At 51.3% G+C, this 22,263-nt stretch overlaps 1 protein-coding gene and 1 pseudogene across 2 annotated transcripts, besides 10 other annotated features; one reads left to right on the top strand and one right to left on the bottom strand.

Annotated features, from left to right (window-relative positions):
• On the bottom strand, positions 1,175-2,040 carry PLA2G12AP1 (phospholipase A2 group XIIA pseudogene 1; annotated as a pseudogene).
• Positions 1,714-1,793: a silencer, noted in NCBI's record as "silent region_889". NCBI's record gives its function as "represses an Ori minimal core promoter by ATAC-STARR-seq in GM12878 lymphoblastoid cells {active_cell/tissue: GM12878}" and the evidence as "EXISTENCE:reporter gene assay evidence [ECO:0000049][PMID:35858748]".
• Positions 1,854-1,953: a silencer, noted in NCBI's record as "silent region_888". NCBI's record gives its function as "represses an Ori minimal core promoter by ATAC-STARR-seq in GM12878 lymphoblastoid cells {active_cell/tissue: GM12878}" and the evidence as "EXISTENCE:reporter gene assay evidence [ECO:0000049][PMID:35858748]".
• Positions 2,074-2,123: an enhancer, noted in NCBI's record as "active region_1031". NCBI's record gives its function as "activates an Ori minimal core promoter by ATAC-STARR-seq in GM12878 lymphoblastoid cells {active_cell/tissue: GM12878}" and the evidence as "EXISTENCE:reporter gene assay evidence [ECO:0000049][PMID:35858748]".
• Positions 3,936-4,565: a silencer, noted in NCBI's record as "silent region_887". NCBI's record gives its function as "represses an Ori minimal core promoter by ATAC-STARR-seq in GM12878 lymphoblastoid cells {active_cell/tissue: GM12878}" and the evidence as "EXISTENCE:reporter gene assay evidence [ECO:0000049][PMID:35858748]".
• On the top strand, positions 4,315-19,923 carry CC2D1B (coiled-coil and C2 domain containing 1B). 2 transcript variants are annotated; one of them, NM_001330585.2, is made up of 25 exons: positions 4,315-4,451; positions 5,886-5,968; positions 7,774-7,918; positions 8,904-9,007; positions 9,388-9,546; positions 9,971-10,096; positions 10,287-10,446; positions 10,637-10,815; positions 10,986-11,061; positions 11,163-11,270; positions 11,363-11,493; positions 11,762-11,834; positions 12,059-12,189; positions 12,622-12,739; positions 12,822-12,994; positions 13,394-13,519; positions 14,078-14,136; positions 14,218-14,334; positions 14,676-14,749; positions 14,854-14,912; positions 15,071-15,122; positions 15,581-15,680; positions 15,822-15,912; positions 16,873-17,002; positions 17,297-19,923. In NM_001330585.2, the coding sequence occupies exons 2-24, from the start codon at positions 5,900-5,902 to the stop codon at positions 16,999-17,001; spliced, it is 2,559 nt and encodes an 852-aa protein (NP_001317514.1). In that variant the 5' UTR covers positions 4,315-4,451; positions 5,886-5,899; the 3' UTR covers position 17,002; positions 17,297-19,923. The 2 variants fall into 2 exon arrangements, with proteins under 2 accessions (NP_001317514.1, NP_115825.1); NM_032449.3 differs by having other exon boundaries at positions 12,604-12,739; positions 16,873-19,923.
• Positions 4,606-4,715: a silencer, noted in NCBI's record as "silent region_886". NCBI's record gives its function as "represses an Ori minimal core promoter by ATAC-STARR-seq in GM12878 lymphoblastoid cells {active_cell/tissue: GM12878}" and the evidence as "EXISTENCE:reporter gene assay evidence [ECO:0000049][PMID:35858748]".
• Positions 12,848-13,349: an enhancer, noted in NCBI's record as "H3K4me1 hESC enhancer chr1:52822843-52823344 (GRCh37/hg19 assembly coordinates)". NCBI's record gives its function as "activates a minimal SCP1, AML or CMV promoter by ChIP-STARR-seq in primed H9 embryonic stem cells {active_cell/tissue: H9 hESC(primed)}" and the evidence as "EXISTENCE:reporter gene assay evidence [ECO:0000049][PMID:30033119]".
• Positions 18,370-19,343: an enhancer, noted in NCBI's record as "NANOG-H3K27ac hESC enhancer chr1:52816849-52817822 (GRCh37/hg19 assembly coordinates)". NCBI's record gives its function as "activates a minimal SCP1, AML or CMV promoter by ChIP-STARR-seq in naive H9 embryonic stem cells {active_cell/tissue: H9 hESC(naive)}" and the evidence as "EXISTENCE:reporter gene assay evidence [ECO:0000049][PMID:30033119]".
• Positions 18,370-20,318: a biological region, named in NCBI's record as "NANOG-H3K27ac hESC enhancers GRCh37_chr1:52815874-52816848 and GRCh37_chr1:52816849-52817822".
• Positions 19,249-19,543: an enhancer, noted in NCBI's record as "tiled region #8197; HepG2 Activating non-DNase unmatched - State 14:Gen5'". NCBI's record gives its function as "activates a minimal TATA promoter and a strong SV40 promoter by Sharpr-MPRA in HepG2 cells {active_cell/tissue: HepG2}" and the evidence as "EXISTENCE:reporter gene assay evidence [ECO:0000049][PMID:27701403]".
• Positions 19,344-20,318: an enhancer, noted in NCBI's record as "NANOG-H3K27ac hESC enhancer chr1:52815874-52816848 (GRCh37/hg19 assembly coordinates)". NCBI's record gives its function as "activates a minimal SCP1, AML or CMV promoter by ChIP-STARR-seq in naive H9 embryonic stem cells {active_cell/tissue: H9 hESC(naive)}" and the evidence as "EXISTENCE:reporter gene assay evidence [ECO:0000049][PMID:30033119]".

The following is a 22,263-nucleotide window of genomic DNA, read 5'->3' as shown; positions in this document are numbered from 1 at the left end:
CCAAAGAAGAAACACGAATGACCAAGAAAATGGAAACAGTAAAAGAGGCATGCAAACCAAAACCATTTCACATCTATTAGAAAACCTTTCTATGGTTACACAGAACAACTGGGACCCCAATACCCTGCTGATGGAGGTGGAATGACTTTTGAAGATTATTTGGTGAATCTTAGCCTAGGAAATGCAAGAAATTGTATGAGCCAGTGTATTAGTCTGTCCTCGCGCTATGAAGAAATACCTGAGACTGCGTAATTTATAAAGAAAAGAGGTTTAATTGACTCACAGTTCCACATGGCTGGGGAGCCCTCAGGAAACTTAAAATCATGGTGAAAGGCACCTCTTCACAGGGCAGCAGGAGAGAGAATGAGTGCCAGCAGGGGAAATGCCAGATGCTTATAAAACCATCAGATCTCGTGAGAACTCACTCCTATCACAAGAACAGCATGAAGGAAACCATGATTCAATTACCTCCCACAAGATGCCTCCCAGGACACATGGGGATTATGGGATTACTATTCAAGATGAGATTTGGGTGGGAACACAGAGCCAAACCATATCAGCCAGTGTGATGGTTAATAGAGCATGCAGACAGCCTATTGTGGGACTATATATATATATACACATATATATATATACACACATATATATACACACACACACACATATATATATACACACACACACACACATATATATATATATATATCCTATTAGTTCTGTTCCTCTAGAGAAACCTGACTAATGCAGCCAGCAATTCCATTCCTAAGTATATGCTCTAGAGAAATTCACATACGTACACCAAGAGTCATATACAAAAAGTTCATAGCACTCTATAATGGTAAGCCATTGGGAAAGTGACTTATTTTCATGCTATGGAATCATAACAGAAATGAAAATCAGCTAACTAGATACAGTATACATGTCAATTTGAGTGAAGCTTACAAACAGGGTTGAGTAGAAAAAGGTTGAAGAATTACACTGTATGTAACCAATGATATAATTTTTAAAAGCTGGCAAAAAAAATACTATGTATTGCTTAAGGATACCTACACAGAAATAGAAATGCTCAGGAATAATAAACACTAAATTTAGGATAATGGGTACATCTTTGGGAAAGGGAGGTGTTGCAATATGGGAGATGTACAGGTAGCTCCAACTATGTTTGTTTTTCTTTTTTCACAAAAATCAGATAGTTTTATGTTGTAAAAACATTAGTTATTTGTCAAAGGTTATGTTCTTCCGTCTTCATCTGTCACCAGCTGTCAGCATCTCCTTTAAATATCGGTTTTTTCTTCATAATGACACCTGCATGTGGCTCGTTGGCTGTCCAGATATGGTTTACAACCTAAATGTATAACACTGTCAAACAAGAGCTCCATTGTTGTTTCACATGCCTGAACATGCTAAGTTAGTCCTAGTGTTTTCTGTACTTCTCGGCAGATCTTGGAGAGGCAATACTGGAATTTCTCATCACAGTCATTCTTGCTTTTGCCACAGTTCTCATAGCACCTGTCGTGTTAGTTGCAACACTTTGTCAGGGAAGGGATACCAATGTTAAGATGAACGCCAAACAGTGGAGAGCCACATCCATTCGGTGGGGAGGGTTTATAACCATAACGTGGGAAAGGCTTAGATCCGTCACTGCATTTATACTGGCAGAGACCGTCCTCGCCTCCCAGGAGGTCCAAGGCGGCGTTCAGGTACGTGTCTATCTTATGAACGCCGTTCCGGATGGTCTTCAGGGTGGCCCTCCAGTCGGTGGTCTAGGCCTGCTCCAGGCACCTGATAACAGCGGCCATGAGGAGGAGCAGGAGGGTGAGCGCGGGGCGCGGGAGAAGGGCCAACCGCGCAGCGCCGGGCTCTACGGGTCCCCGAGCCGCGGCGGGGGGCGCGTCCCCAAAGAGCCCCCGGGAAGCGCTAGGCAGCGGCGCGGGCCCCGGGGTTGCAGCCGCCAGCTCCATAACCACGCCTCCTTCCCGGCTGGCAGGCAGGGCCTCGCTGGCTTTACGTGAACCGCCTCGGGGAGGCAGCGCGGTCGCGGGGACGCGCCCGCTCACCTGCTTTTTTTTTTCCCTTAAACTGGTAATAGATGTCCATGTAGTTAATTCACACAACAAGGAACTATTGAGTGCCTACTATGTACCATGCACTGCTGTAGACACGAGACACTTGGAGAAGCAATAAAAAAATTTCTCCTTCTGGAGCTTGCATTCTAGTAAATGTTAAATATTGTGTATCTTTGTTTATATCTTAAATGTTTCATTATAAAAATTTTTAAATAATTTTAAAAGGAATGAGAAATATGGATGTGAAATCTCAATTTAAATATGGTAATGGGCAGGGCATGGTGGCTCACGCCTGTAATCCCAGCACTTTGGGAGGCTGATGTGGGTTGATCCCCTGAGCTCAGGAGTTTGAGATCAGCCTGGGCACATAGCAAAAACATGTTTCTACAAAAAAAAAAAAAAAAATGCTGGGCATGGTGGCACGTGCCTGTGGTCCCAGCTACTCAAGAGGCTGAGGTGAGAGGATTGCTTGAGCCTGGGAGGTGCAGGTTGCAGTGAGTGGAGATCGCACCACTGCACTCTAGCCTGGGTGACAGAATGAGATCCTGTCTCAAAAAAAAAAAAAAGAAAAAAAGTAAGCAATCAGGAGATGGAAAAGCCCTTTGTCCAAGTAAACTGGGAGATCGCTAACTAGAAAACATAATTTAAAAGTTCAAGGCATAGGCAGGAGAGGAGATGGCAATGTTTTAGACAGAAGAAACTAATCCAGCAGTTTAACTTTAAAATACATTTTAAAACTTTTTTTCCTTTCTCTTGGGTTTCAAGATACAACCTTGAAGCAAACTGCAAAAGCCTTTTCCCTTAGCTGTAAAATAGACCCCATATCCCTCCCTTTCTCACTGTATATACTCCCTTCACATTTATCTTACTGTATGCTAGTATTTAATTATCTGCCTTCTGAGAAGTTCCAAGGGCTAATCTTGAGACAGACAAACCAAGCCTGGAGACACAGCTGCAAAATTCCAAAGATTACTTCAAGGTGGCTAGTCAACAGCGGGGCCATTGTGGAGATGAGACCAGCCCACGCTCCAGGTAGGCTGGGACCCAAGATAGCCACCAGAACAAGACACACAGACGTTGTACTCTGTACAATTCTTGCATGCTTCCCATATCAAATTTTCCTTTTAAGCCGTTCTCTTTCCCCCCAAAATCGAAGTGGTTACTTTAGATGGGAATCTGGCCACTTCCCCATTACTCCGCTCTCGGTTTTTTTGTTTGTTTTAGTTTGAGACAGGGTCTCACCTTGTCACCCGGGTTGGAGTGCAGTTGACAGCTCATTGCAGCTTGGACCTCCGGGGCCACAGCGATTCTCCTGCCTCGGCCTCTCAGTAGGTAGGACTACAGGCACGCACCACCACACCCGGCTAATATTTGTAATTTTTTGTAGAGACAGGGTTTCGCCATGTTGCCCAGGCTGGTCTCGGACTCCTGAGCTCAATCTCTTGTTAACTGGACTCTGCAAGCCGCAGGGAGAAACGTGCTTTCCTTAGAAAACTAGACTAGAGCATATTTACTGATGCTAAAGAGGTTGGTTTTGTATTTCCCTGGGCAAATAATTCTCTCTGAGCCTCCGTTTCTTCTAGAGATGATGTCCATCTTGCAGGATTGAGAACTGGTATAAGCTCCATTATGAAAAGTGACTGACACAAGCTTGGCAGAAAACGGGTATACTCCGTTTCTCTCCTTAATATCCTCCATGCCATTTGATTGCACAGCAGGGTAGGCGAGTGAGAACTTAGTGTTAGACTCTGTAAAGTATTTAAGATGTGCAGCGAGCTCTGCCTGTCTGAAGTTTTCAACGGACCGGAAAAGGATACTTTCAGGTGCTGAATTATTAAGAAACATATGGTGGGCCCCATTTCCATTTCCCCAGGCTTAAAGGACATGGACAAGCAGGTGAGCCCCGCCCCTGTCTCTCTTCCAGGGCGGAGCTTGGGTAGGCCCCGCCCTCTTGCTCGGTGGGGCGGGGCGAGGGCTGGAGGCGGGGTAGGTCCAGCGAGCGAGCGAGCGCCCAGCGCCTCGGGCTGAGTGAGGGAGGAGGTTCGGTGGAGAGGCTGCAAGTGGGCGAGGGCTGGGCGCAGCGACCTCATTGGAGCCGGCCGGTGGACGCCCCGGCGGAACCGCCCAGAGTTCCTGTCCTGCGCTACCTACCCGAACGCGCCTGCGCGCTGCGAACCCCGCCCCGGTGTCACCTGTTGGAGCCCCCCGCCCGCGTAGCCGTGCACATGCGCACTGCCGGCCGCCGGCCAGTGGGGTCACGTGTTGCGCGCGAGCCACCTCCCCTGCTGGCGCTTCCTGTCGCTACCGCTGCGGCCCAGGGCCCGCGGGAGCCCAGGGCGGTGCCGGGTGAGACAAGGCCGGGGTTTGGCTCGGATTCACCGCGAGGTATGCCGCGTCCCCGCCCCTCGGCGTGGGGAGTTCTGGGGACCGCGGGGGTAGATGGAGGCGGCGCGGGCGGGGCAGGGCGGCGCGTCCCGCAGCGCGGGAGTGGGGGTCCCGTGTCGCCTCCCCCTACGGACTCCGTTGCCCACCTTCCGTGAGGCCTGGCTGTGTCATCGGGGCCGCAGCCTTGGAGTGTCTGGCCTCGCTTTCACCTGAGCCGGAGTCACTCCCGAAATCTGACACTCAGAGTCCCCCGGAGCGCCCGCCAGCTCCTCCGCCCGCTCCCCGCCGCCTCCACGCCCGTCAGCTGGTCTCCCCGCCAGCGCTGTGGCGAGATGCGCCGGCTTCCTGCCTTTTCCCCCTACCTTCTGTGCACCTCCCCTTTGGTGCCAGAATGGGGTTTCTGAAACACCGATACGATCCCGCCACTTCTTTCCCAGCGCCCTCAGAATAATGCCCAAACGCTTTTCGGCTTAGAGGTTTTCATATTCTGCCGCTTGCTCACATTTCCACCTCGGCTTGTGCATTCAGGCCTCACCGCTTATGCCCCAGTCATACCAGGCCTCAGGTTCCATTGTACAGGCCAAGCTGCTCCCCACTTCAGAGCCGTCAAGTGTTCCCTCGTCTTGGAATCCTATTTCCCTCTTTCCCCCAACTTCTTTGCGTGACTCAGCTCAGGCGTCACCGCCTCGAAGGAGGAGCCTTTTCTCCCAGGGCTGAAGAAGGGGTCACCTCAGGGCACCCATGGCCCCTGGGGCAACCCCGTGTAGTCCACCTCCACCCTGTAAATGGTCATTGAAGGCTGAGACCGTCTTAGGTTCATTTCTGCGCTCCCAGTGCCCAGCGCAAGGTCTGACACAGGAGGTCCTGTGAATAACTGTGAGATCTTTATGGGAATCAGAATGCTGAGCCAGCTTTCTCCAGAGCTCAGCTGTGAGATGGAACTTTGATGACATGTCCTTGGATGATGAAAATGTTCTGTGTGTGTGCTGTCTGGTCATAGCCCCTCACCACATATGGCTGTTAAGCACTTGGAATGTGTCTGTTGTGGCTGATGGACTGGATTTTTAGCTTTATTTCATTTTAATTCATTGAAATTTAAAATTAAATAGCCAGCTGTGGCTTCCATAAGCACAGCTTTAGAGCCTTTCTGAATTCTACCCAGCCTTCCACCCACCCTGAACCTAGAGTACTTCCCTGAATGTGCTTTTTAAATTTGAGTCCGTTCAGAACATTCCTCAGTAAACCCATTAACAGGTGATCCCCATCCCTCCCATGGCCTGTGCTGCTTCAGTGCTTTAATTAAAGGTAACCCATACTTTGGTGTTCAGCATTGCCTTCTTTGGGAGTTTACTATCCACACCTTACCACGGGTAGCACTGTTGGGGGCGTGGCTTATGGGCTACTCCAGCCTGAATCTCTGTAACTCTTCCATAGGTATCTAGGCTGCCATGATGCCAGGGCCAAGACCTCGGAAGGGCCCTCAGGCCAGAGGCCAAGGGGTGGCCGCTGCCAAGCAGGTATGGAACTTAGCCTTCTAGGCTACTGGGTCGGTTTGGGGATGGGGGTCCCTAGACAACTTAGGCAAACTGGATCACATGTAGTTCCCCCATTAGTTCAGAGACTTGGAGCAGTGCCTCCTGGAGGTGGCAGAGCCCTTAGACACCCTCCTACTAGTCTCTTCCACATACAAGTGGGGAGAGGGTTCAGGAATCACCAAAGTTTAGGATGTTCTGATGGGACCTCAGTGCTCTCAAAGGTTCCTTAGATAGGGTCACAACTTTGCTTGTTAGCCAGGGATGCCAGGGCATGAGGGCTGTAGTCAGTGGGAGGACTTCACTGCCTAGGGACAGATGGCTGTGCCCCAAGTGGAAGAACAGGGGGGTCTCCTCTCCAATTTTCTTCCTTTATTTCTTCTGGGCCTACATCTTGAGACTTCTTAGTCCATTTTTACTGTCTTTAAAAAGGCAGGTAAGAAAGGAGGTGGGGTAAAGGGCATAGACTCAAGTCGCAAAGAGCTTGTTTTAAATTCTGATTGTCTCACAAGACTGTCTCAGTTTCATCTGAACATTGGGATAAAAACAGAATGTAAGCTGGGTGCCGTGGATCACGCCTGTAATCCCAGCACTTTGGGAGGCCGAGGTGGGTGGATCACCTGAGGTCAGGAGTTTGAGACCAGCCTGGCCAACATAGTGAAACCCCATCTCTACTAAAAATACAAAAATTAGCTGGGCGTGGTGGCATGTGCCTGTATTCCCAGCTTCTTGGGAGGCTGAGGCAGGAGAATCGCTTAGACCCGGGAGGCAGAGGTTGCAGTGAGCCAAGATAGTGCCACTGCACTCTAGCCTGGGCGACAGAGCCAGACTCTGTCTCAGAAAAAAAAAAAAAAAAGGATGTACCTCTACCTAGAGTAGTCATATTCATGGAAACAGAAGAATGGTGCTTACCAGAGGCTGGAAGGAGGGGAGGAAGGGGGGTTAATGTTTAATGGGTAGAAAGTTTGTTTCACAACATGAAAACAGTTCTGTGGATGGATGATGGCGATGGTAGCAGGATATTGTGAATGTCCTTATGCCATTGAACTCACCCTTAACAGTGGTTAAGATGGTAAATTTCATGTTGTATGTGTTTTACCAGAGTTTAAAAAAATAGGACCTTCTTTTTTTTTTTTTTTTTTGAGACGGAGTCTCGCTGTGTCGCCCAGGCTGGAGTGCAGTGGCGCCATCTTGGCTCACTGCAAGCTCCATCTCCCGGGTTCACGCCATTCTCCTGCCTCAGCCTCCCGAGTAGCTGGGACTACAGGCGCCCGCCACCGCGCCCGGCTAATTTTTTGCATTTTTTAGTAGAGACGGGGTTTCACCGTGTTAGCCAGGATGGTCTCCATCTCCTGACCTCGTGATCCACCCGCCTCGGCCTCCCAAAGTGCTGGGATTACAGGCGTGAGCCACCGCGCCTGGCCAAAAAATAGGACCTTCTTCTCAGAATTGTGAGAATTAACTGAGGTGGTTAAGATAATCACATAGAACGCTAAGAACAGTGCATGATGGCAGCTATTGCTGTTGGTTGTAATAATGGTAGTGTGTTTTAAATTCTGACTCACAAGACTGTCTCAGTTTCAGTGTGGTCTTACTGGGTTTTTTGTTGAGTCCCTAGGAAGGTAAGTGTCTCAAGGAGTAATGTTGCAGGCCTCAGTTTCTTTCTGCACATTGGGCCTCACAGACTGAAGGAGCCACTGATTGGGACTTGGAGAGCCCCAAGTCTGGCTCTGGAGCTGGACCCTACCCTGCTTGTTGTGTGGTTCCTAAGAGTCCTGCTCTGCTCTCAGATGGGGCTCTTTATGGAGTTTGGCCCTGAGGACATGCTGCTGGGCATGGATGAGGCTGAAGATGATGAGGACCTGGAGGCTGAGCTGCTGGCTCTCACAGGGGAAGCACAAACCACAGGCAAGAAGCCAGCACCCAAGGGGCAGGGTGAGTTTGGACACAGGGCTGGTCTTGGTGCTGGGACAAGATGGGCACAGGCTGGTGGTAGAGGGGTTCCCTTGCAGCTGGACGGAGCCAGCCAGATCCCCTGGTCCTTCCAATACCCATCTGCCGCACTCCCACCAAGAGGCGGCCTCGCCCTGCTTCCCCACCTTGTGTCATGGCCTGGGCTGGCCCCTCCCCATTGTGGACAAATGTGTTTCTCAGACTGACTCAGGTCCCCATCCTTAGCCCTAGCCACGGTATTGGTGTAGGGTAGGGGCCCAGTTAGCACAGACTGAACTGGGTACATAGGAAGTACATAGAAATTGTGTCCAGCGAGTTAAGTGGAATCTCCCTCCACAGCCCAGATGAGAACAGAGACTTCAGGCCTGGGAGGATCAGGAGGTCTAAATCGTCCTCTCTTTTCACCGGGAACCCTCAGAGAATCCCCCCACTCATCCCCCACCATCCTGTGTGTCCCTGAGTTGAGGATAATGGGAGGACCTAGGAAGGGGCTCACTGCTCCTGCCTTGGGGTGGCACAAGCCTAGGTTTGAATCCTAGCTCTGCCACTTAAGGATTGCAGTGATAGGAAAATTAATGTTGGAAGTTTCTCAGTTTATTCAATATATGAAAAGGGGATATTATCCATCTTGCAGATTTGTTTTGAAGCTCTGTTGGACTTTGAAAATCTTTACAGATGTGAAAGGTGTTGTTGGAGGTTGGAGAGAGTGGATGGCCATGTCTATGTCAGGCTACCGTAGGCAGAGGTGCAGAGAAAGGAGCAGCTTGTTGCTTGGTGGGGGGCCAAGGAAGGTTTCCCTGTTGAGGGTCTTTTGAACTGGGTCTTAAAGGAAGAGCAGTTTTCCAGGTGGGACTCTGCTGTGGGAGGGAAGAGGGATTTCTGCCTGGGTGGATCTACCAAGCCCCTCCTTTACTCATCCCTGAACTTATCTGAGTTGTGCTGACTTGTTGTGACCTTTTTCCCCCAGCCCCCCTGCCCATGGCCCACATCGAGAAGTTGGCGGCAGACTGTATGCGGGATGTGGAGGAGGAGGAGGAGGAGGAAGGGCTGGAGGAAGATGCAGAGCTGCTGGTGTGTCTGCCAGGCTGGTATCCCAGGGCTCTGAGGCAAGCTTGGGCCTGGTGGAGGAGAGGGCAGTGGAGAGGAGGCTGGGGGTGCCCCTGTATTCTCTGACTCTGAGTGAGTGCTTGCCCCTCCTGGCTGTACAGTGGGTGGCGTGTCTCTTTGACTTCTGGTCTAAGCTCTGCAGTTGGGGATTCTCAGATTTGGAGTAATTACTATTTTCAAGGCTATCCTCGGTCAGATTAAAGAAATGTTTTGGTGAAGGGGACTCAGGCACAGTGACTGACGTTAGGGAATATTGCTGAGAGAGAGGGTCCTTTACTCTCAGGTCCTGTTGTGGGTATGGTCTTGAGGCCCCCAAGCTCCTGGGCTGTGTTTTGTCTCCCTAGACGGAGCTGCAGGAGGTCTTAGGTGTGGACGAGGAGACTGAGCCCCTGGATGGTGATGAGGTAGCTGACCCAGGCGGCTCTGAGGAGGAGAACGGCCTAGAAGACACTGAACCTCCAGTGCAGACAGCCGTCCTGACAGCTTCAGCCCCAGCAGCTCAGGTGGGTTCTGGAGGAGGGCCCCTGTGCCTCTGATGCTCCTGTGCGCCCAGACGTAACACGTGTGTGGCCTGGCCTGCACAGCAAGGCTGCAGTCACCCTTTCCAGGACCCTCCCCCAGCAGCCGCCCCAAGCAGAAACTGAGCACAAGAAACTCCTCCGTGGCAGCCAGCCTCAAAGGCCTCTCTGTTCTCCTAGACTACCCCCCGGGAGCCATATCCTGGCTTCCACCAAGTGGGGCTCTGTATTTGCCTCTGCCATGGCCTCTGGCCTCTCCAGTGAGCCTTTGCTTCCTGCCTTAAGGCTTTTAGGCTCTTCTTTCTCCTGGAGTCCCAGAGCTCCATCTTCTAGGGCAGCTTCCGCAGAGGGAGAATGGTAGGCCTAGCAGGCCCTGGAGTGGCCAGGCCCTTAGCTGAATTGTTCATAGGCCGGAGCATCTCAGGGGCTACACGCTTTGCTGGAGGAACGGATTCACAACTACCGAGAGGCTGCGGCCAGTGCCAAGGAGGCAGGCGAAGCAGCCAAAGCCAGGCGCTGCGAGCGCGGCCTGAAGGTGAGTCGGGCTAGGCTGGGAGCAGGGCAGGGGAGGGGGCTGCATGAAAGGCGGCTGGTGGAGATCGCACCAGTGGAGGGGAGGTCACCCCACCAGACTTTGGGGGTTGGGGGGCCACCCCTGGCCTGTCTTGGAGCAGGGTCTGGGCTGAGATGGCTGGCTGGGTTTCTGGACCAGTTCTCTCCCTCAGACCTTGGAGTCGCAGCTAGCCTCTGTGAGGAGAGGCAGAAAGATCAATGAGGATGAGATCCCACCTCCAGTGGCCTTAGGAAAGCGGCCCCTGGCCCCCCAGGAACCAGCCAACAGGAGCCCTGAGACAGACCCTCCAGCTCCCCCTGCCTTGGAGTCAGGTATCTGCAGATGCCCAAATCCTGTTCTAGTTCCTGGGGTCATAGCCCACAGCGTGTGTCCCCAGCCTGCCACCACTGTTCATTACCATTGGTCACATCCTCCCCAGGACATCCTCAAGCCAGTGAAGTCCGTGGGCACCTTCTTCTGTGACCCTCATGTGCTCTCTGGGGACTGTTTGTTTCCTTATAGACAACCCCTCCCAACCTGAGACCAGCCTCCCTGGCATTTCTGCCCAGCCCGTTTCAGACTTAGACCCAGACCCGCGGGCCCTGCTGTCATCCCGACAGAGAGAGTACAAAGTGGCTGCCCTCAGTGCCAAGCGGGCTGGAGAGCTAGACCGTGCCCGAGAGCTCATGAGGATTGGGAAGGTATGGCATCTGGCTCAGGGCACCCACCCTCATTTTATAGATAGGGGAAACAGGCTCAGAAAGGGAGCTAGACTGAGATTGAGTGAGATTGGCCTAAGTGGGGGTTGTTTCAGCCCAGGCTCTTGGGGTCCCCTGTCTTTCACCCACACCTGCTTTTCCAACTTCTGCAGAGATTCGGTGCTGTCCTGGAGGCCCTGGAGAAGGGGCAGCCCGTGGATCTGAGTGCCATGCCCCCGGCACCTGAGGGTCAGTATGTATCTTCTCAGGCTGCGGTGGGGTTGGGGAGGAGTAGCAGGCCTGGGGCTGGCCAGGCCCTCCCACCTACACCTCTACTCTGGGTCCCCCAGATCTGAAGCCCCAGCAGGCTTCTCAGGCTCCCACAGCACCCTCAGTCATTCCCCCAGCCGTGGAGCGAGTGCAGCCAGTGATGGCCCCTGACGTCCCAGCAACCCCAGGTAGGGCAGGATGGTGGGACTGTGGCGTGGGGACCTGCAGGCATTGGAGGGCAGGCTGACCTGATGCCCACTTCTTCCTTCTTTCCTTCAAGTGGCCCCTACAGAGTCACAGACAGTGCTGGATGCCCTGCAGCAGAGGCTGAACAAGTACCGCGAGGCGGGCATCCAGGCCCGGAGTGGTGGGGACGAGCGCAAGGCTCGGATGCATGAGCGCATTGCCAAGGTGGGCCCGCGGCTATGCAGCCCCTGCCTGTGCTGGCCTCTTCCCTGGCTGGGTGCTCTGTCTCCCTGGTCCTCCGGCTAGTCCTTGTCTTTTCTGAACCATCATCTGTTTGTCTCTCTGGGGCTCTTGCTGCCTTAGGGATCTTTTTTTCTCCCAGGGCTGCTGTCTTCCCACCAGTCTCCCTCTCCTTGCCCCACTGTGTGTCATGTTGGGCAGGGGGCCTGTGGGCTGCTGCCGACCACAGGCCCCTCCCTTCCTTCCCTTGCAGCAATATCAAGATGCTATTCGAGCACACCGAGCAGGACGGAAAGTCAACTTTGCTGAATTGCCTGTTCCTCCAGGTAAGTGGGGCATGGCCTAGGGGCTCTGTGAGGAGGTGGTCCCTGGGCAAGAAGGGAATGGGGGACAGCCAGTGATTCCCACTTCTCATGCGTCTGCCTCCCCTCTGTGGAGCCATCCATCCCAGCCATGCCCCAGCAGAGCCATGCCCCAGACAGGGCCCCGGGTAGCTTTGTGCTTCTCTGAGGCTGCTCCCTGCCCCTCCCATGCTGTCTCTCTCCCACAGGATTTCCCCCCATCCCTGGCCTGGAGTCCACTATGGGTGTTGAGGAGGACGCAGTGGCAGCGACATTGGCAGCTGCAGAGAAACTGGCCTCTGCAGAGGATTCAGCCCCGGCTGATAAAGACGAGGACGAGGTTTGGTTGAGGGCTCAACTCCAGGGCTGGTGGGGAGAATAGCAGGTGAGGGGTAAACCCAGACCCTGTTGTCCATACTAACAAGCCCAATAAGGTACATATTCTTTCCTCCACTGTACAGAGAAAAAACTTGCCCAAGGACACCCAGCTAGGAAATAGCAGAACTAGGATTCAAACCAAGGTCTTTCTGAACCCAGAGCCCCGGCTCCATCCCCATTACCCTGCAGTCTCTCTCCTGCTGGGGAGGTTAGATGTGAGAGCTTCTGAGGCTGCTTCTAGCTCTCAGATCTTTTAGGACCCAGGAAGAGAAGCCACCCATCTCAGGTCACACAGCGATGTAGTACAGTGTTAGGAAGACAGCCCAAGTCTGGGAGCCGCCATGACTATGCTAGGGAACACATCCCCTCCTAACAGCCTCCTGGGCACCTGCAGGGTGAGCCCCCAGCACAGGCCCCAGTGGCCAAGAAACCTGCACGGCCCACAGTCCCTTCATCCCAGCGCCTGCCTGAGCCCAGGGCCTCAAGTTCTAAGGAGTCACCGAGTCCATCTGGTGAGTTGGGGACAAGCAGGGTGAAGAACTGAGGGCCTAGAGAGGGCAGGTGTGGCCCTAACCAGTGGCCTTCTCCCTTCAGTGCGGGAGCAGCTGGCACTGCTGGAGGCACGGAAACTGCAGTATCAGCGGGCAGCCCTGCAGGCCAAGCGCAGCCAGGACCTGGAGCAGGCCAAAGCCTATCTGCGGGTAGCCAAATGGCTTGAGGCTCAGATCATCCAGGCCCGATCTGGCAGACCTGTTGATCTGTCCAAGGTGAGTCCCACCTGGTTAACCACCAGGACTTCTCAGGCGGAGGTGGCGGCTGGCAGGCTTGACAGGCTGTGAACAAGGGCAGCTTCTGGGATGAGGCAGGGTTTGGACAGAGCATGATGACAGCTGGGAAAGAGCCTTTTGCTCATACTCCTCTACCTCACGGCCCCAAAGGAAACCAGGAGAAGGGAAGGTGGGCTGCCTGTGGTCAGAGATGACAAGGCTGGGCCAGGCCATGGGAGGCAAGAGTGTTATTTTGGGATAGAATGGGAGGCGATGAGTTGTCATCACTGGACTTTAGTAGAAGCTGAAGAATTACTTAGTTTGGGCTCCTGCCTTTGTTGGACTTGGTAGAGGAGTAATCTGACTCTTGGGGCCCGAGGGGCCTTGTGACCTGGGTAGGTGCCTTCGCCCTTGACGGATGAGGAGGGTGACTTCATCCTCATCCACCATGAGGACCTGCGACTCTCCCAGAAGGCGGAGGAGGTGTATGCCCAGCTGCAAAAAATGCTTCTGGAGCAACAAGAGGTCAGCAGGCCCCTCGTCTGTTCCTCCCCTCTGTGCCCACAGCCTCCCCGTGGAGGAAGACCTGGAGCTCAGACCACACAGCCCTGGACTCAAAATTCTCAGCTCTTCCACTTACTCACTGTGTGACTTGGGCAAGGCACTTTCTTCTCTGAACTACATTTTCCTCATCTATGAGATGGGGTGATAATACCCCTTTCAGGGTGGTACAAACAACAGAGAAGAGGGAAAGAACATTGTGATGTGCGTGTATGTTTATGTATTTATCTATCTGAACTGCCACCTGTTCTGGAAAGGCTGCCTTCTGAGGGGATGTTTGAGTTAGGTTTTGATGGAAGGAGTTGCTAATTTGGGGAATGGCTCTCCTCAGAAGAGAAAATGACAAAAGTGTAGGCAGAGAAACGTGGTGGGACTTGGGAGTAGTGCCCTTGGGGCTGTGTTGTGGGAGGAGAGAGGTGAGGCTACAGAGGAAAGTTGAAGCTTTGAGAAGTCTAGCCTTGAATGCCAACCAAGGCAGGTCCTGCTCTGGGCTCGGGAGTCACTCTGGGCCTCTATTTTCAGAAGTGCCTGCTGTTCTCCAAGCAGTTCATGCACCAGGGCAACGTGGCTGAGACCACCCGGTAAGTGCAAGGGCTGGGGCTGGGCTCATAGGGTGGGGAGCAGAAAATCCACCATCATGCTGACATACCCATCCCTGTCAGATTTGAGAAGCTTGCTCAGGACCGCAAGAAACAGCTGGAGATCCTGCAGCTGGCCCAGGCTCAGGGCCTCGACCCTCCCACCCACCACTTTGAGTTGAAGACATTCCAGACTGTGAGGTACCAAGGCCTAGGGAAACAGGGGCTCCAGGCAGGGAGGGGCAGGAGGCTGGGAGCCCAGGCCAGAGACTGCTACCCCTTTAGTGAGGCTTCCCAAGCCTGGCCCCGCTGTGGGCACTGGGGCTGCTGAGGACGACAGGGTGCATGCTAGTGGAGAGCGCACAGCTGTCTGGGTGCTGTGGAAAGAGCTCTGGACCAGAAGTCAGAGATCAAGGTCTGCATACCAGCTCTGCCTTCCCTCCCGTCACCACCCAGCTGGGCAGACAGGCCCTGGACGAAGGGACCTTGTTCCACTACTGTCCTTCACTTTTGAGCATTTTCTCCTTCCCGCTTGGCTCTAGGATCTTCTCAGAACTCAACAGCACAGAAATGCATCTGATCATTGTCCGGGGAATGAACCTCCCAGCCCCTCCAGGTAACCCTAGGGCCGCCCCTACTCCAGGAGGCTCTTGCCCGGACACTCCAAGTGCTAGGCTCCTGGCCACTCCCTCTGACTTGACTCCCTTTTCTCCTTCCCAGGGGTGACTCCCGATGACCTGGATGCTTTTGTGCGGTTTGAGTTTCACTACCCTAACTCGGTGAGGTTCAGGTAGAAGTAGGATCCTCTGAAACCCGCCTTGCATTCCAGGACCCTGTGCTCACTTTCTTCCCATCCCTGGGAGGTGTGGCTGCAGTGCCTGCCCTGTGTGCCTCTTTGTTTATACGCTGTCCTGACTTCTCCCTCCTCACTGCTTAGGACCAGGCTCAAAAAAGCAAAACAGCTGTGGTGAAGAACACAAACTCTCCAGGTGAGGGCCACACGTGGGCCTCTTTCTCCTCCCTCAGAGTGTGTGGGCAGCACTGGTGTTTCCAGAGTGGGTTCCCATCTATGCCCTTACTTGATCCACCCCACTTGGGAGATAAAGGTGCTGTTAACATGCTTCTTCTGTAGTTGGAGAAACACGCAGAGAGGTACAGGGACTTGCCTGGGGCCTCATGGCAAGGAAGTGGTAGAAATGGGATATGAACACAGGAATTCTGTATCCCAATTCCAAGTCTTTCCTACTTTGTTACAATCTATGACTAAAAAGAGTACAAAAACTCACTTCCAAGGCCAGGACCGCGATGCTCTACCACCCTTTGGAGGCAGTACCCCAAAATGCAGGTGGAGAGATTGGGGGAAGGCAGCCAGCCCTGGGCCTCCATTTCCACTTCCTCAGGAAATCCCGAGAGCCAAGCCCCTCCTTGCTTTCTCCCCCTTTGCCAGAATTTGATCAACTCTTCAAACTAAACATCAACCGAAACCACCGGGGCTTCAAGAGGGTGATCCAGAGCAAAGGCATCAAGTTTGAGATCTTCCACAAAGGGTGAGGCTCCTATCGGTCATGCTGCCACACGGGCCGGGAGGAGGGAAGAGCGTTTGTCACTGCTGCCCCTGCATGGGCTCAGCCAGCACATTCCTGCCTTCCCTGCCCAGTCCAATCCTCTGCTGCCTCTTGACTCCCCAGGTCCTTCTTCAGAAGCGACAAGCTGGTTGGCACAGCACACCTGAAACTGGAGCGGCTGGAGAATGAGTGTGAGATCAGAGAAATTGTGGAGGTAGGGGCTGGGGTGTGGGCAAGCCAAAGGGGTTGGTACGACAAGAGCCAATACGCACTGAATGCCACACCTTGTTGTAGGTTTTCGTGCTCATTACTTAATTTGAAATTCTCCACAAGTGTGCTTAGAGTAGGTGGAATCCTCATTTCACAGATGGAGAGGTTCAGAAGGTCTGAGAAATCTCACAGAGGGACCCAGGAGAAGGCAGCCTCCTTGTTTCCATGAACTCAATGGATTCCACAGGCAAGGACTATACGACCTTGCCTCTGACAAATGAGGAAACTCAGGTCCGAGAGGAAAGGGGGTTCTGTAAGCTCATATGGTGTGTCCTTGGCAGAGCTACGACCAGCTCCTTACTGATAACCTATGTAGGCTGGGGCTCTTCCCACTGTAGCACACCTGGCCCTACTGCCTGCCTGGGGAAGTTGTTCTTATGCGGGCCCTGGTCTCTATTGGAGCCACTGAGGGTGGTTGGACTTCTTGGGCCTATTGTACTGCTTTGTGCCCTAATTGACTGCCTCATCTTCTGCCCAAAAGAGGGAGTAGCGTGGTGAATGGGAAGGAACCCTGGGTTTGGGGTTCCAGTGCTGACTCTGCCACATAGAGTCATCTGCTTCTCTCTCTTGGCCATCTGTGAAGTGAGGGTTTGGGTCAGTGGAAGGCTGCTTCTTCAAGCCAATGTTTCTTCCAGAAGTTGCCGTGGGGATTGAGGAGAAAATGAACAGAGCTCTAGGATGCTTGTCTGGATTTATTTATTACTTTTTTAATAAGACTCACCTAAAACCACCACCACCTCCTCCTCCAAATACTGGGAGGGTAGGGTTTTCATGAATGGAGATTCCTGTGTTCATGCCACAGGACATCTTAGCTCCTCTCACTTCTTTCCTGGGAATGTAGGGACCTGCCTGCTCCCCATCTCTGTCCCCTTAGTTACCATTTCCCTCTCTGTGGTCCTCACAGGTCCTGGATGGAAGGAAGCCCACCGGGGGGAAGCTGGAGGTGAAGGTGAGGCTGCGGGAGCCTCTGAGTGGCCAGGATGTGCAGATGGTCACTGAGAACTGGCTGGTTCTGGAGCCCAGGGGCTTGTGAGGTGGGCAGCTCTCTGGGCCTTCAGAACCTTTGCCCCCTCCTTTTACTCAACTAACTACTCAACTCATATCTGGAGAGAAAACCTAGGAGTTTCTCATCTATGAGAAAGACCTACCATGCTGGGTAGGGCTTATGGGCTGAGTTTCTGATGTTCCTCAGTAGAACTGGGAAGAGAAGGTAACCTTCCAAGGTTTAACTATCTATCTATCTATCTATCTTCAGGAAACCCTTTCTAAAATCTTTGTGTTTTCACTGCAGTTTAGACTGACTTCTTGTGCTTTGCACCCCTGTGTAGCCGATGGCCAGCACCAGGAGAGGAGTCAGGCCGCGACTGTGCAGGAGATGACTTTCCCAGCTTTGCTGGCTTCAGAAGCCTTTGTACATAAGAGATGCTGCTACCCAAGCACCAAAGACCTGTTAAGCATGTGCACTACTGACCACGACTCTGGTCTTTCCTGTTGTTGGCCCCTCTGGGGCTCTACAGAAACAGGCTGGGTTCCAGGAGCCCATCTCCCCGCTGTCTCCCCCTGCCCCGAGTCTGGAAGAGGGCAAGGACACTTCCATTCCTCTGTACCATGGAGTCCTGCAGCCCCTTAACCCCTGCGTGGCAACTGTGTACAGCTTACCCCTGCCTCCAGTTGCACCACTTCTAGATGTGCCTTTAAAAGATCTAACTATGGGATGGGAGAACTTGAGGGTGATCGGGAACCTCCCCTGCTGAGGGTGGTGTCAGGGTTCCGTGACTCCAGTGGGCCAGTGGTAGCCTGTCCCAGACAACTCCGTCACCCCAGCTCTGCCTGTGCCTTTATCCCTGACAGCTGCTGCACTAGCCTTCCTGCTTCCCTAAGGACTTAGTGGAGGGGGAAAGTTGTTTTTGGTACTACTTGGTGGGAAGTAAGGGGAAGGTTGGATCTTGGGTTTGGTCTACCCACCCAAGAGAAAAGACTGTTAACTGGAAGAAAAAATATATATATAAAATTTTATGTAGACACGTTTATTTATCTAGGAAACTAAGTCTAACTCATTGTAGGGATTTTATACTCAACTATACAGAGTATCCACCAAAGTCCTAATCTAAAGTCCTGCTCCCTGTCACTTTTTAAAAGCCAGGGTAGCAGTAACATGACAAACGGCTGCTGTGGCTTCCTCTTGAGAGAGGACAGGGAAAGCCTTTCCTCTTCGGCTGGTTATGTGGGGAACTTCCTTAGTTTTTTTCCACAAGAAATTCTCCTTTGGCTTTGTTTTTCTGAATGGATGGAGACTATGAAGGGGTTTGTAGTTGTAAGAGATTTAATATTCAAAACTGAAATATTCTGCATTTCTTAGAAATACCCCATCTTCCCCCACCCCCTTTTTGAATTATTAATTCAAGATCAACAAAGCATTCCTCAAGATCACTTTTAAAAAAGGTTAGAAGTGAAGCAAATACATTCAGCTTACTGATCACTATAGTATTGCATAAGCACAGCTCAAGAACTGAGCTTTGTATGTGTCCTTTTGGGGGATAACAGGGCTGGACCATGCTTCCCTGCCCTTAAACGCAGAGCTTTTAGTGGGTCACAGAGCGGGAACTACACACAAGTGACTTTTTTCCCCATGAGCCCTCTGGCCGATTTTTTTTTTTTTTTTTTTTTTGAGACAGAGTAGCTCTCTGCCAGCCAGGCTGGAGTGCAGTGGCATGATCTCAGCTCGCTGCAACCCCCACCTCCCAGGTTCAAGCGATTCTCCTGTGTCAGTCTCCTGAGTAGCTGGGATTACAGGCACCCACCACTATGCCCAGCTAATTTTTTTATTTTTAGTAGAGACGGTGTTTCACCATGTTGGTCAGGCTGGTCTCGAACTCCTGACCTCATGATCCACCCACCTCAGCCTCCCAAAGTGCTGGGATTACAGGTGTGAGCCACCGCACCCGGCTGGCCAATCTTATCAGAAGTGAGCTACCAAAACTTCCACAGATGTGAGATTTAACACTTAATTGCAGTCACGTGTATGCAACACAGCAATAATCTAGAATGAAAAGGAGGGTGATTAGCCTTCATAAGATGACCTATAGAGCAAAGAAAGGTGACTGGAAGGGTTCCTAACCCAACCTACTCCCCTTAGGGTGTGTATCCAACCCAGTGCTTCCTAAGAGGGTTACGGACCACTGTGGTTATCCTCTAAAGTTCCAGCCAGCTCTAGGAGTTTCTAAATTCAGGCCTCTGTTGGAAATGGCCTATTTCGATAGATAGAAAGTTTTCTATAGCTCTAAAGGTTTCTCCTTTGCAACCCATTCAATTTCAGTCTGCTGCTTTGCTCTTTCAAAACAGAACCTCCAGGCTGACGAGGCAAGACAAAGCCTCCCACCAGACTTGGAGATTGAAGTTCTTAAAAGGCCTTTGTTGTAGCCAAAGGCATGCATGCGTCACTGGTAGTAGGAGGAGCCTGTCCCAGCTTCATCTTGTCCTGAGATTTATCCACATACAGGAAACAGGCGGGACACAGTGGCTCACGCCTGTAATCCCACCACTTTGGAAAGCTGAGGCAGGTGGATCACCTGAGGTCAGGAATTCAAGACCAGCCTGGCCAACATGGTGAAACCCCGTCTCCACTAAAAACAAAAACAATTAGCTGGGCATGGTGGCCGGCGCCTGTAATCCCAGCTACTAGGGAGGCTGAGACACACGAATCCCTTGAGCCCAGGAAGCAGAGGTTGCAGTGAGCCTCGATTGTACCACTGCACTCCAGCCTGGGCGACAGAGCAAGACTCTGTCTCAAAACAAACACAAATACAGTATCCAAACATTGGAGATTAGTGACTCACCTGCAGTTGGGAGCCAGCTACAACCCAAATCATTTTAAAATTTTCAATTCTTTGATCTCATGCAATGCACACTTTCTTCTGAATTAGCAAACTGAATAAACTACAGAAATTTTTTAGAATCAAGAAGTCTTGCTTACAATTAAAGGGCAAACTCCTGTGACTCTAACATTTTTCCTTTCTCACAGCACCATTCTGAAATTTGCATTGTTGCTTCTGGATTTTGAAGCCTTGTTTTCCAAGTATTTGTGGGCAGCTCCTAAAAGACTTTGTCCCTTAAGTAAGGGCAGCTGCTTTCAGGATGAAACCATGCGACTGAGACTGGCAGATCCTGGGAGCTTGCACCTGGGTCAGCTCCACAGATGGATTCGTTTCTTCTCTGCCTCAGCTGCCCAGGCTCTAAAATGGCATCATTTCTCCCTACTTCTTAGCCCTTCTGACTACATACAATCCCTGAATTCCCATTGCCATGATTATTATTTTTGCATTATAAAAATAGAAACCGGCCAGGCACGGTGGCTCATGCCTGTAATCCCAGCACTTTGGGAGGCCAAGGTGGGCAGATCACCTGAGGTCAGGAGTTCGAGACCAACTTGACCAATGTGAAACCCCATCTCTTTTAAAAATACAAAATTAGCTGGGCGTGGTGGTGCATGACTGTAATCCCAGATACTGCGCAGGCTGAGGCAGGAGAATCACTTGAACCCGGGAGGCGGTGGTTGCAGTGAGCCGAGATAGTGCCATTGCACTCCAGTCTGGGCAACAAGAGCAAAACTCCGACCTCAAAAAAAAAAAAAATAGAAACATCATTACAAACTTGCTAATTCCAGAAACAATGTTCAGCAGGTTGATTGTTGTTTGAAATGTGTTAAATGCATAAATTATTTCCCAGGTGACCAGTTATCTAGAGGTAAACTTAACTGAAAATCTTGGGCCCACCAGTGCTCAGGAACCACTGTGGCTGGGGGAAGACAAGACGTGGGAATTTACAGAGGCATAATTTCAAATCTGTAGCCCTAGAGTCCAGTAGTTCCTCAGAAGATGTTGATAAAAATACATTGCCTAGCATTTGATAAGCATTTAATAATTTTAAAAAATTTAATAAATTACCAGAATGGCAATTCTATTCCTCTTAAGTATAGAAGGATCGCTGTATCTCAATCTTTAAGTTTACAATCCAGAAGATTTGCCTATTTCGAAATGTGGTTCAGCCCCTTGCTTTATATAATTCTTACAATATACATTGTATAAAAGCAAGGATAAACAAGGAAAACAATTAACTATCATTGGCTATTTTATGCCCAATTCCACAAATGATTTTACTAAACACAGAGGACATTTGATGCAGCTGAGAAAGGATCTGAGGGCCAGAGTTTGTCCTTAGTGGGAGAATTTAAAAGCTTGCACTGAACCAGAATAAATAAGTACAATGGCAAGCAGGAAGATAAACCACAGGAAAACAGGACCAGTCCCTGTAGAAGTTCCAGACTTTTGAGGTATGTTCAGACAAAGCTGGCTATTAGACCAAAAATAAGCTGCCCCTGTTAACAAGTGCTTCCTGTTCTTGTCAGGTTTGGAGGTAGTGGTTACCAGGGCTCGGTCCTGACAAGCTGCTGCTCTGTGGGCCAAGCTTCCCCTTAGAAGCTCTGAGTACCTCTGAGCCTGTGGGAAAGGTCACAGTAAGAGTTCTGTGCAACCACCGTCGGTAAAACCTTTGGAGAGGCAGATGTCGACTATAAGCTCCCACCTCAGAGAGCAGGATGAACCTACCCAGATGTTTCCCAGGCCAGGCCTTTAGGCCTCTGGAAAACAGCTGCTGCCGCAAACACAGCTCCACAGCCTGCTGTTGCCTCGTGCTAAACCCAGCACTAGCCACTGGGGAGCAGCCTGTCGCTGTCCCACAGGCCTGCGCTAGCTTCCAGGGAATTCTTGGAGCTGTACTAATACTGCAGAAAAACTAGTTTAGCCTTGGCTTTCAGAAGATGCCAGTGACAATGGAGTACATTGCCCTAAAGCAGTATTTTCAAAATGTGCATTGTGGAATCCATTTGGTCTAAGATCAAAATAAATTTTTAATGAAACAGAAAAAGGTCAGAGTGCATCACACATATCATGGATAAACCAGATTTTGGTTTCTAATACCACTCCCATTAAAAGAAGCCAGGGCTCCTTGCAGAAATAGCTGATTCCAGGGCTAGGGCAGGATAAGCACAAGATAAGCCTGAAGCATCTTGTTAGGATAGAAATAAAAAAGAAGTACTCAAAAAAAAAAAAAAAAAAAATAGCATATCACCAGGATGTAGGAGCCAGCTTGAAGGGTCTCTTGTCTAGCTAAAGCTGAGACCATTTGTGCACCAAAATAATGAATTGGAACCACTGAAAAAGGCCAGGCTTGGTGGCTCATGCCTGTAATCCCAGCACTTTGGGAGGCCAAGGTGGGGGGTTTGCTTGAGCCCAGAAGT

This window comes from Homo sapiens, chromosome 1, assembly GCF_000001405.40.
Source record: "Homo sapiens chromosome 1, GRCh38.p14 Primary Assembly".
NCBI classification, from domain to species: Eukaryota; Metazoa; Chordata; class Mammalia; order Primates; family Hominidae; genus Homo; species Homo sapiens.
Note: the sequence above shows the minus strand (reverse complement) of the source record. Positions and strands in the feature narration are given on the sequence as shown.

What these genes read in the sequence shown, in the direction of transcription:
- CC2D1B (NM_032449.3), top strand. Translation starts at nt 5,900, where the DNA reads ATGATGCCAGGGCCAAGACCTCGGAAGGGCCCTCAGGCCAGAGGCCAA. An exon ending in GGGTGGCCGCTGCCAAGCAG is followed by an intron (nt 5,969 to 7,773) that starts GTATGGAACTTA and finishes CTCTGCTCTCAG; the next exon opens with ATGGGGCTCTTTATGGAGTT. An exon ending in AGGAAGATGCAGAGCTGCTG is followed by an intron (nt 9,008 to 9,387) that starts GTGTGTCTGCCA and finishes TTGTCTCCCTAG; the next exon opens with ACGGAGCTGCAGGAGGTCTT.